At 42.3% G+C, this 12,373-nt stretch overlaps 1 protein-coding gene across 6 annotated transcripts in view; it reads left to right on the plus strand.

Moving 5' to 3' along the window:
* Positions 1-12,373, plus strand: part of HTR1F (5-hydroxytryptamine receptor 1F) — a 201,134-nt gene that overhangs the window by 183,616 nt on the left and 5,145 nt on the right. Inside the window, exon 1 of one of the 6 annotated variants that reach the window (NM_000866.5) lies at positions 6,255-6,370. The exons of the other annotated variants lie outside the window; for them this stretch is intronic. The gene's annotated coding sequence lies outside the window, so the exon portion shown is untranslated. Of the gene's footprint in view, positions 1-6,254; positions 6,371-12,373 lie in introns of those variants that run through there. 6 annotated transcript variants of the gene reach the window in all.

The following is a 12,373-nucleotide window of genomic DNA, read 5'->3' on the forward strand; positions in this document are numbered from 1 at the left end:
AATAAATATGTTGTCCCTGAAATTGCTTAAACTGTGCCAGCTTAGCTTGATTAACTAATTATTATGGATCAAAAAAAAATCTAGCTGGACACCATGGCACACACCTATAATCCCAGTTATTCAGGAGGCTGAGGAGTTCAAGTCAAGTCTGGGCAACATAGCAAGACCCCCATCTCTTAAAAAAAACTGAAGTTGTTAAATCAAATATCATCACTAAAATTAATTTTCTTTTGAACATCACAACAGCTTTCAATAAGTTTTAACACACCCTAAGCATGTTATATTTTTCTAAATAATTTAACATATTTTTATTCATGTTTAAGAAAAATAGCTATTGTCACCCCTGATTTTGAGATAGACCTTGTCCAACCCAATATTTTTCCCTAGATTAAGGTATTTATCAGATAGCTAACTTTACAAACAAAAGTTTTAAAATATTTTTCATATCTTGCACGTAGTTAAATATCAACTTTTTAGTAACTTTCCAGTAAGGGCACAGAATATCCAGATTCTTTGTCTAGTTCCTGGTGATAACCACTTACATAATACATTATTATATCCAATGTCACTATGGTGTGAAGTATTTGCCTTGCTTATTACTCAAGGAGAGGGAAGGGTAGTCAAGGCGGAGGAAAAGATCATGACCATAAACTTTCAAAATTTCCATCTCTAGCTTGCTAACATATTACCTGTTTTTCATTTTAACTTACATAATAGGAGAATATACCATTCCTCATGTATGGTAATTGTACATTATTTCCTCCCACCATCCCCTTACATATTGTAGAATTAGAAAACTTGATATTAGACAGTGATGGTACTATGGATCCCATCAAAGGAAGACTGGGGTAAAAATTGAAATGCTTTTTACCCAGCTAGACTTATTTCATAACTATTATCAACATTAACCACAATCCTAAAGGTAGAGTTGCTAGCCCTATACTCCAGATGACAAATAATAATATTAAGTTTTTTAGAAGCCAGGTACCTAACAGATTTATATGTAATCTTCAACAACCCTTCATAATGTTTGACATTTATTTTTTCCCTCTACAGATAATGAAGCTGAGACTTTTTTTTTTTTTTTTTTTTTTTGAGACGGAGTCTCACTCTGTCGCCCAGGCTGGAGTGCAGTGGCTTGATCTCAGCTCACTGCAAACTCCACCTCCCGGGTCCACGCCATTCTCCTGCCTCAGCCTCCTGAGTAGCTGGGACTACAGGCACCCGCCAGCACGCCCAGCTAATTTTTTTCTTTTTTTTTTTTCTTTTTTTTTGTATTTTTAGTAGAGACAAGGTTCACCTTGTTAGCCAGGATGGTCTCGATCTCCTGACCTCATGATCCGCCCACCTTGGCCTCCCAAAGTGCTGGGATTACAGGCATGAGCCACTGCTCCCCACCAAAGCTGAGTCTTTTAAAGCTGAAATGACTTTCCTGAGCTCACACACACTATTATGTGGGGGAGTCACTTTAAATGAATTTTTCTTGAAATCTAGTGTCACAGGATCCTTAAGGTGTCACTTTTCCAGCCACAAGCCAATGTGGCTAGTGGCACCTTTGCCTTAGTTTTACTCAGACCCACTGGACTTGTTCTTCCCACTCATCCTGGAAGTCTGCACTTAGCTCATGCTACTGGCCCAGATCCCATGCTTGCCAAGGGTGAGCTAGATGCATAGAGGCAAGAGGTATGTGAGTGAGTGAGTGCAGGGTCCAGCCATTGCACACAGCCAGGCAAGCTGGCAGCTGCAGAGGGGCGGGCAGCTCCAGGAGCTGGCATAGGTGCCAGCTTCATGCAAGCCTGCAGCTGGATTAGATGCACCACAAGCAGGTTCCATTGTGGGCACCCACCTCTGGATGAGGGGAACATGGTGGCACTCAGAAGGTTGAAGACTCCAGAAATCGCAGAGACCCCAAAGAGGGTGTCATCTCGAGTGCACCACTCCCTGAGCTCCCAGAAGGGCCGCAGCTCTTCTTTCCTTCTCATCACCCACAACTTGATGAGTCGGGGAGCTGTGTTTCAGTCCTGTTTGTGTTACAGCTCTTTCATTTGACAGGTCCTGAGTTCTTGGAAGTTCAGGAAGAATGATAACTAGAGAGTGAGCAAGGTGAAGGGCTGCTTTATTGAGCAACAGTACAGCTCTCAGTACAGTACAGCTCTCAGTACAGTACAGCAACAGTACAGCTCTCAGGAGACCCAGAGTGGTTAGCTCCCATCCACAGGCAGGTTGTCTGTGGCCCTCAGGGGAGAAGAGACCCAGTACCTCCTATTTGCAGGCAGGTCATCCTGACATTTGTGGAGCCCTCAGCAGAGAGGAGTCCAGGAGTGGATAGCTCCTTTCCCCAGGCAGGTCATCCCAATGTCTCTGTGAGTCTGGCTGAGTCCAGGATTTTTATAGGCTTCAGAAGGGAAGAAGTGAGTGCTGATTGGTTTATGGGTGGGCCTAGAAGGAGAGAGGGAGAGAGGGAAAGAAAGAGAGAGATGGGAAAGACTGAAGGTCCTATTGCTGCACCCTAATGGGCAATCAGGGACTGGAGTGGAAAGAAGGATGGAAGGAAGGGAGGGAGGGAGGGAGGAAGGAAGGAAGGAAGGAAGGAAGGAAGGAAGGAAGGAAGGAAAAGAGAGAGATGGGAAAGACTGAGGGTCCTAGTGCTACACCCTAATGGGCAATCAGGGACTGGAGGGGAAGGAAGGGAGGGAAGGAGGGAGGGAGGGAGGGAGGGGGGGAGGGAGGGAGGGAGGGGGGGGAGGGAGGGAGGGGGGGAGGAAGGAAGGAAGGAAGGAAGGAAGGGAGGAAGGAAGGGAGGGAGGGAGGGAGGGAGGGAGGGAGATGGGAAAGACTGAGGGTCTTAGTGCTACACCCTAATCGGCAGTCAGGGACTGAAGTCAGTCCAGGGGCCTTTGGATAATACCAAGGAGTAGCCTCAGCCAGATACCTTCAGTTGCCCCAGGACCTCCTTCCAATCCACACAACCGCTAGACCTCCATGAAGGGAAACTGGATTGGAACAAAGCCCACATTCCCAACACCAGAGGGTGATGGGGGATTGACAGTGTTCTCCCTGGCAAGCCTGTCCTCTGTGTCCTAAGTCCGGCAGCCACGATAGTCATTTCTAGTTGGCCGACAGAGACCCAGTATTTTCCTTTCATTCTGTTGACTGTGGAGTTTAGGGACTCTGAAAAATGAACAGAAAGCAGCAAATCCACTAGTACTCACCCTTCCACAGATCCTGGATGAGCCCCTAAAAATGTCACAAGATCCTTAGGTTGTCACTTTTCCAGTCAGAAGCCTCTGTGGCCAGTAGCACCTTTGCCTGAATTTTACTCGGCCCACTGGGCTTGTTCTGCCCACTCAGCCTGGCAGGCTGCTCTCAGTTTGGCTGCCAGCCAAGACCCCATGCCTTCCAAGGCATGGAGTGGAGCAGCAAGGGGTGCATGAGCAAGTGAGCATGGGATCCAGTTACTGCACATAGCCAGGCGCGCTGGCTGCTGTGGCAGGTCAGGCAGCCCCAGGTGCCACCTCTGTGCAACCCTGCAGCTGAATCAGATGCTCTGCAAGCAGCTTCTGCTGTGGGCGCCCATATCTAAATGAGGAGAATGCAGTAGCACCTGGAAGCATGAAGATGCCAGGAACTGCAGAGCCCCGAAGAGAGTGCCTCAGCCCTGGTTCAGGGAGCCCTTACATCTGTGTTCCTGGAAAGGCCACAACTCTTCTCTCCTCATTGCCCACACTGTGGCAAGCAGCAGGGTGTGTTTCAGCCCTGTTTGTGTTACAGCTCTTTCAGTTCTGCCATTCAGTGGGTCCCAAATTCTTGTCCTGCTTCAAGGAAGAGTGAGGTACATGGACAACTGGAGAGTGAACAAGGCAAAGGAATGCTTTATTGAGCAATATTACAGCTCTCAGGCTACCTGGAGTGGGTAGCTCCTATCTGCAGGCAGTCATCCTGATGACATCTCTCCACCCCTCAGCAGAGCGGAGACCTGGAGTGGGTAGCTTCTACCTGTAGTCAGGTCATCCCAACATCTGTGCAGCCCTCAGTGGAGAGGAGACCCAGAGTGGGTAGCTCCTATCCATGGGCAGGTCATCTTGTCATCTTTCCAAATCTGGCTAAGTCCAGGGTTTTTATGGGCTTCAGAAGGGAGGAAGTGCATGCTGACTGGTCCATGAGCAGCCATGGGTGGGCCTGGAAAAAGCACCATAAGTTTTCATGCCTGGCTATGGAACAGGCAGCCCAGGCTCCAGGCTTCAGACCATCCCTGGCTTGAACATGGGGTTTCACTGGGGGCTTGCTCCTTTCCACCCAGGAGCCTGTCTGCCTCCTGCCACCATCAATTACATCATCCATGGTGCTCAGGCTGTACTGAGGGGCATCTGCAGGCCTGCACCTAGCTGCCCTCAGTCCCCCCTCGGCCTCTCTCCCATTCTTGTCAGTGCCCAAAGTCCAGAGGATGCCAAGGCGGCAGGGGGCTGTCATATCATCACTGCTTCAAGCACACACACAACACTCGGGCTCGGCTTCAACTTTGCTCCTAAATGAGAGTGGGTGCTGGGAGTGGGGAGAGATCAGGCAGCAAGAGTAGGCACTTCTGAACCTGCAGGGGCAGGGAGGGTTCCCATGACCCTGAGAGCATAGGAATGTCCAGGTCCACAGCTGTAGCTGGGGGGCTGCTGCTGCACCTGGGGGGGTGGGGCTCCCACCCCACCAACTCAGAAGGGTGCAGGGTTCTCACCTGTTCCCAGCTCCCGCCAGCTCCCTGAAGTGCACAGCCCAGCCTTCACCTCACCTGCCACAGCTGGTCTGTTTGCAGCAACCTCTCCAGATGGGCCACCACTACCATCACTAGCACTTACGGGTTTGTTTTATGTTTTGGGTTTTTTTGTTTGTTTGTTTTTTGGAGATGGAGTCTTACTCTGTCACCCAGGCTGGAGTGCAGTGGTGCAATCTCAGCTTACTGCAACCTCCACCTCCCAGGTTCAAGCAATTCACCTGCCTCAGCCTCCTGAGTAGCTGGGACTACAGCCACACACTGCCATACCCGGCTAATTTTTTGTATTTTAGTAAAGACAGGGTTTCACCGTGTTGCCCACGCTAGTCTCGAACTCTTGAGCTCAAGCAATCTGCCCACCTCAGCCTCCCAAAGTGCTAGGATTACAGGTGTGAGCCACCATGCCTGGCCGCAATTGTGGGTTTTATTCACAGTAGTTGGTAGTCTCTTAATTAATTGAAGTCATAATCTCAGGAATAAACATCAGTTTCTATTACCTTCACAACTCCACTTCTGCCATATCTCCCCACCCTTCCTTTACATTCCACCCCACACACTCAACTTCTTTTCTCTTTAGGTTTCAGCAACAGTCAAACAAAGCAAATAGTACAACCTACTGAGTCTGTACATGTGTATTTCCTCTCTTTTCCATAGCAGGTGCTCCTGTAGCTGGTTTCAGTGTGTTCATTGAATGTGGTGTCATTTTCTCTAAGATTGTCATTGTTGCAATTTAATTATTTTCTCAAGTGTGGCAGACTAACAAGCAGATGTCTCTTGAAAACAATAACCAGATCCATTTAAGCAATGAGGTGTGCGTATATGTAAATTCCATTTAAAATAAGAATGCCTTCTTCTTTCTTTTTTTTTTATGTCTCACTCTGGCCTGTCACCCAGGCTAGAGTTCAGTGGCAGATCTCAGCTCACTGCAACTCCACCTCAAGCAGTTCTCATGTCCAAGCTTTCCGAGTAGCTGGGATTACAGGCAACTGCCACCACACCTGGCTAATTTTTGTATTTTTAATAGAGATGGGGTTTCACCTTTTTGACCAGACGGGTCTCAAATTCCTGACCTCAAGTGATCCACCCACCTTGGCCTCCCAAAATACTGGGATTACAGGCATAAGCCACTGTGCCCTGCCCTTTCTAAATATTTTTAAATATCGAGATATTTTTAAATATCTCAGATATTTTCTACATATCTAAGCTAGAGAAAGGGACTTCTAAAAATCTTAAGGGTGTTGCCCCACAGCCCTAATAGTCTAAGAATAGTCTGAAATAGTCTGAAAAAGAAGAAAGTCTGTCTTGGAAAGAATTATGCATATGACATTTGGGGCACGTAGTGACTGTCAATCCGATTCATAGGGAGACACAAAGTTTTGAAGAAAACTATACTAACTTGGACTAAAAGGGAAAGAGCTCAAAATGAAAAGACTTTCTGTAGGCAGAAAGCAGGCTAAGAAGGCTACTTAGCTATAATCCAGACTACTTTCCAGAGACCAGACAGGATCTCTTCAAGAGCAGAGTCAAGAGCCTGGAGGGCGTTTCAAGAGCCGTGGAGTGCAGTGAATTAGAGAACCAAATCAGAAGCAGAAGTGGGCCCTAGTGAAGGTAAATTTCTAACCCTCAGAGGAGAGCACTCTGATAACATTTGTCTGGGTGAATTTCAGGTCAGTGGCCACTATGTGTTTCCCATTTCCTTATCTTTTTGAATAGGGGTGTCTATTGCAATTATCCTGCCCTCAACTCACCATTACATATAAAGGATTGGAGAACAAATAAATCGCCTGTTTAGTTTACAGCTCTCTGAGTCAAGATGCACTGCAGCCTCAAGGAGCCTCATCTGTTTCTTGACTTGATACAATACATGAGATCATGGACTTCAAAGACTGGTGCCATGATTAGATGAGATCTGGGGGAGCTTGGGGAGCACGTGAATATATTTTGCTTATGAAATGGATGGAAGTCATTGGAGCCAACAGACAAACTAACGGGAACATAATTCATAAACTAAGAAAGAATAGGTCAGACATCTAGGAAACACAAGCACACCCCTAAGTTGGACATGGACAGTTAAAGCAAGACATGGTGGGGAGAGATGAGTATTCAAAGCCAAAAAGTTAAGTGTACAAATCTGAGAAGTGTATGTCAGGATCCTAGAGGCCAGATCCAGCAGGCAGTGATTTAAAAAAATAGGGAAAAGAAAATGTATACATATACATGGCAAATATAGGCAAGGTTCCATTGACTGAAGTGCTGTAAAAGCCTTGCAGAGTTTCCCATCTCTCTCAGTAAGCAGGTCTTCACTGATACAGAAGAGTTATGGAGCAATCCTATACATTTTCATACTCCAGCCCTGGAATCACTCCCTAAATTCAAAACTCTACAATCCCAGGCTCGGAACCTAACTGCAATCTCATCTTTTTGTCATCCTTGCACATTACCTGAGCCCACTTTACACCTGCTCCTGAACCTCATCAGGACCTCAAATTACTCAATGCTGGCCTATTTTCTCAGCTTGTTGCCCTCTCTGGCCTGCTGTTTTATGAAACTAGTACTGATCCAGCACACCCAACAACATTTTCCCTTGGCCTCTGACCCCAATCTGCATCCCAATTCCTGATCCAATCCTGAATAAATTGAATTATCTTTTACTTAGCAATATAAACCCTAAATTTCAAGCACTAATGGAAGAGTAAAAAAACATAGACCATTTTTATTCCAGTTACCTTTTGAAGGTTATAATTTCAGCTATATTCTCAAAAGCATTCTTTAATCTTTTTGCTTACGCCTTTTCCCTGGAGCAGCAGCACTACTCTCTTCAAGCTGTACCTTGCCACCTGCACACCTCACTCTGCCAAAACTCAGATATCCTTTCACTTACCTTCTTAAACATTTCTAAGACTTCTGACTGCCTACAAAATAAAACCTGGTGTCCTTACCATGGCATGCAAGCCTCCTTTGTCTTCCTCAGTTAATTTTCATCTCTCACCCCCAACTCTAGCCCTAAAGTGCCTTTGCAGTAAGTAGGTAGCACATCAGACTGCTGATTTCACATGTCTGATGCATCCTGCATTTTTATGCCTCTGCTTTTGCTCATACTTTTTCCTGTACCTGCAAAGGCTTTCCCTGTTTAACCATGCTATGATTAATTAATTATCCCTCACCAGTATTTCCAGGAAACTTTATACATATCTCCATAATGCCCTTATTGCATTGTATAATTGTATTATATGTTAAGAGTTTTCATGGCCAAAGCTAGCTTCTTAATGACAAGTACAAAGTGTTGTTTTGTTTTGCTGTTTTGATTTGTTTTGTTTTGTCCAGGGATAGATTTTTCTTGGTGGTGGTAGGAAAGAGGTTTTTTTGTTTGTTTGTTTTGTTTTTGTTTTGAGACAGAGTTTTGCTCTTTCGCTTCTGTTGCCCAAGCTGGAGCGCATGGCATGATTTTGGCTCACTACAACCTCTACCTCCCAGGTACAAGTGATTCTCCTCTCTCAGCTTCCCAAGTAGCTCAGATTACAGGCATGTGCCACCACACCCAGCTAATTATTTGTATTCAGAAGAGACGGGGTTTCACCATGTTAGTCAAGCTGGTTGCAAACTCCTGACTTCAGGCCACCCACCTTGGCCTCCCAAAGTGCTGGGATTACAGGCGTGCACCACCACACCCAGCCAAAAGAGGTATTTTTATAACTCTCAGATTTATTAGCACAAAAATAACACTCACTAAAAAAGTTCTTAAAGGAATAAATGAAAGCAAAGAAATATAAGAGCAAAAGGGAAGTCTCAGAGTTGAAAAGGCAGTAAAAAAATTGGAAAGCACTATGAATACATTCCTACTGTTATAATCAACACATGTAGACCTGGTTGCTACCTTAAACATTAATTTTATTGGATATTTGCTTACACTTGAACACCCTTCTCATTTTGTAACATAATCTTTATTTTATAGAAAAAGTAGTTACTTGAGGGCTGGGCACAGTGGCTCACTCCTGTAATACCAGCACTTTGGGAGGCCGAGGCAGGCAGATCACCTCTGGTTGGGAGTTTGAGACCACCCTGACCAACATGGAGAAACCCCCTCTCTACTAAAAATACAAAATTAGCTGGGTGTGGTGGCGCATGCCTGTAATCCCAGCTACTCGGGAGGCTGAGGCTGACGAATCGCTTGAACCCAGGAGGCAGAGGTTGCGGTGAGCCAGAGATCACGCCATTGTATTCCAGCCTGGGCAACAAGAGCGAACCTCCATCTCAAAAAAAAAAAAGCAAAGAAAAAGTAGTTACTTGATAAGCCTCATGACTGAAATACAACTATTCAGTAATACATCTCCTACAGAGAGAAAAATGGTGGTTAAAAGAATAGATTTGTTCTACCAATTATTTGTTGTGTTGTCATTGTAGAGATTATTAAACATCTGTGCTTCAGTTATCTTATCTATGAAAAGAAAGACAATAATTGTACCTACCTCAAAGGTTAGTTATGAGGATTAAGCATGTTAATGCATGGAAAGCACTTAGTACATTGCATGCAGAAGTAAACACTCAGAAAAGATGAATGTTATTGTTATTCTAATTAAAACAGCCAACTTGTAGGTATTCGTGAGGTCTCAGTAGAATTGAATTTTACTTCACAATGTTATTATAAAAACTATTTGTGTATGACAACCATCCCAGGCTATTTACAATATAAAATGAATTAAACTATGCGGCTAGGAGCTAATAATTTAATCTTGAGGACAATATAATTGGATATCAAGATCAAACAAACACCTGAATATAAATAAGCATTAGATTTTAAAAACTGAGTAAGCAGAGGAGTAAATGCTTCATGCAGCTAAATCAACAAATTGGCAAACATTCATGTTGAATAAAACCTGGGGAAGTTTTCTTTCTCTGTTATTATCAAGAAGGCTGTATATAACACATGAGACTGCAGGCTCTACTTACAGACTAATCTTGATTTTTTTCCCAGTGAAGACATTCAAATACAGAATGCAGTCTATGTTCTAAGAGTAGGAGGGACATATGTAGCATACTCTATGTCCAGTAACCCAGAGATGGTCCCTAGCACCATGAAGATGCACAGCAGGAACTTAAGATATAAAGGAACAGAAAAACACCTGGTCAGAGGCCATGTCTAAATTAATAAAGGTAGATGGTTTATTACATTTCTCATTGTAAATAGCAAGAGAAATAGGAGAAAAATAAAAATAAAACCCAACGCCATTGGTTGCCTTTGTTTTTCTATTTTCTTTGTTGTCTATAAATACAACTAGCAGAAGATTAATTACAGTTCTAAATTTAACATTAAAAAGATTTCTGGAAAGCTGCAATATAAGTTATGTGACAGATAAATTTTGTCATATAATTCTAGAATATAACCCAAAATTTTTATTTTTTTCTTGGCATTAGGTACCATTTTATTGAGCTTAATTTAAATGCTACAACTTGATGCTTAGGGAAATCCATTGAATTATCAACCAATTCACCTTCTAATTTTAAGCTTGTCAATTTTGCTACATAATTAACTTTTATTATGGAAACCCACATAACTCTTTCTGACACTTTCTCCTGTTTAAAATTGTATTCAAAAGGTAATTTCAGAATAATCTCTGGAAGATCTCTTATGCCAAAATTGTTTATCAGGCAAATTAAAATGGAAAGCTATTTTTGCTCATATTATGAAAACTGTCAGCACTTTTAAATGAATTCCCATAACACTAAATAAACACCATTGCAGGCCGGGCATGGTGGCTCACACCTGTAATCCCAGCACGTTGGGAGGCCGTGGTGAGCAGATCACCAGAGGCCAGGAGTTCTGAACCACCCTGGCCAACATGGTGAAACTCCGTCTCTACTAAAAATATAGAAAATTAGCCGGGTGTGGTGACACGTGCCTGTAATTCCAGCTACTTGGGAGGCTGAGGCACAAGAATTGCTTGAACCTGGGAGGCAGAAGTTTCAGTGAGCCAAGATCATGCCACTGTACTCCAGCCTGGGGTACAGAGTGAGACTCTGTCTCAAAAAAATAAAATAAAAATAAAATAAAATAAAATAAAATAGATAAACAAATAAACACCATTCCAAAGGAATTAACCCATTAAGAAATTATTCAGTTTTTTAAATTTAATATTTAGTGCAAATTTTATGATAAGGGAATAGGGGAGATATTGGAAGTAAAGTAGAAATTAATTAATTTACCATGTTACTAATACATCTTGTTGGTTTTGAAGTAAGCATTTTACCTGTAATCATTGACCTTCTACAAATGTTTCAAGGGAAAATAGCTAAAGACTGTGAGGTTCACTGATACTAAAAACATATATCAAGAATTTTAATGGCAGTCCTGATGGTGCCTAAGCACACCATTACATCATAGGTCCTGTGATCCAATACTGATTTTAGGAAATATGGTCATAGCATAACTTTCATATCAACTGAAAAGAATAGAAACAATATGAGAGAAGGGGAGTTAAAAGACCCAGAACACAAAGTCCAAGAGCTGGATGAAGATAGCAATAAAAATACGGAAATATATATATATATAATATATGTATTTTATATATATATATATAAAAATATATGTATTATATATATATTTTATATATATAAAATATATGTATTATATATATGTATTTTATATATGTATTTTATATATATAAAATATATGTATTATATATATGTATTTTATATATGTATTTTATATATATAAAATATATGTATTATATATGTATTATATATATATAAAATATATGTATTATATGTATATATGTATTTTATATATATATGCCAGTGTAAAATAATTTAAGAAACTCCAAGAAATAAGAATGTAAAAATGAGAGACACTGAAAAAATTGTATAGCATGAAATTCAGAGGACAAAAGTCAAGAGAGAGAAACTCATAGATGTGGCAGCATTGAAAAAAAATTAGACAGATGAGAAACAGCCTGTTGATTATGCCCAGAACCCTAACTCCCTGGACCAACAGCATCAGTATCACCCGGGAACTTGCTAGGAATGTAGATTTTAGAGCCCCAAGCTCACCAGACTTGCTGAGTCACCAGCTCGAGAGGGTGGGACACAGCAATCTGCTTTAACAAGCCATCCAAGTGATTCTGAGGCACTCCAAATTCAAGAACCACTTTTTTAGAGTTTCTAAGACTTTAGCCTCCATTCTTTACCAGGAGTTGCCTTAGTTGCCCTTTATAACTGGCTAAATGTTGACATAAAAAAAAAAAACAGAAAGGCAACTACTTCTCAAATACACAATAGACAATCACTCTTTTTCAGGTATTCAAATACCAGAAAGGTATTCAAATTTCTTCTGCCACTCAATTTGCTTAACAGCACTTGCCTTCAGTGAATGTCTGAAGAGAAAAATTAAATTTAGTACTGTTAACCCAAGCAGTTACTAAAAATTAAATTTAGTACTGGTACCCAAAGTAGAACAGAATAGAAAATACGCTGCATTTCAAAGTTTTTTGTTTTGGTTTGTTGTTGTTCTTGTTGTTGTTGTTTGAGATGGTGTATCGCTCTGTTGCCCAGGCTGAGGTGCAGTGGCACGATTTTGGCTCACTGCAACCTCCACTTCCCGAGTTCAAGCACCTCCGA

Source organism: Homo sapiens, chromosome 3, assembly GCF_000001405.40.
Source record: "Homo sapiens chromosome 3, GRCh38.p14 Primary Assembly".
Taxonomy (NCBI): Eukaryota; Metazoa; Chordata; class Mammalia; order Primates; family Hominidae; genus Homo; species Homo sapiens.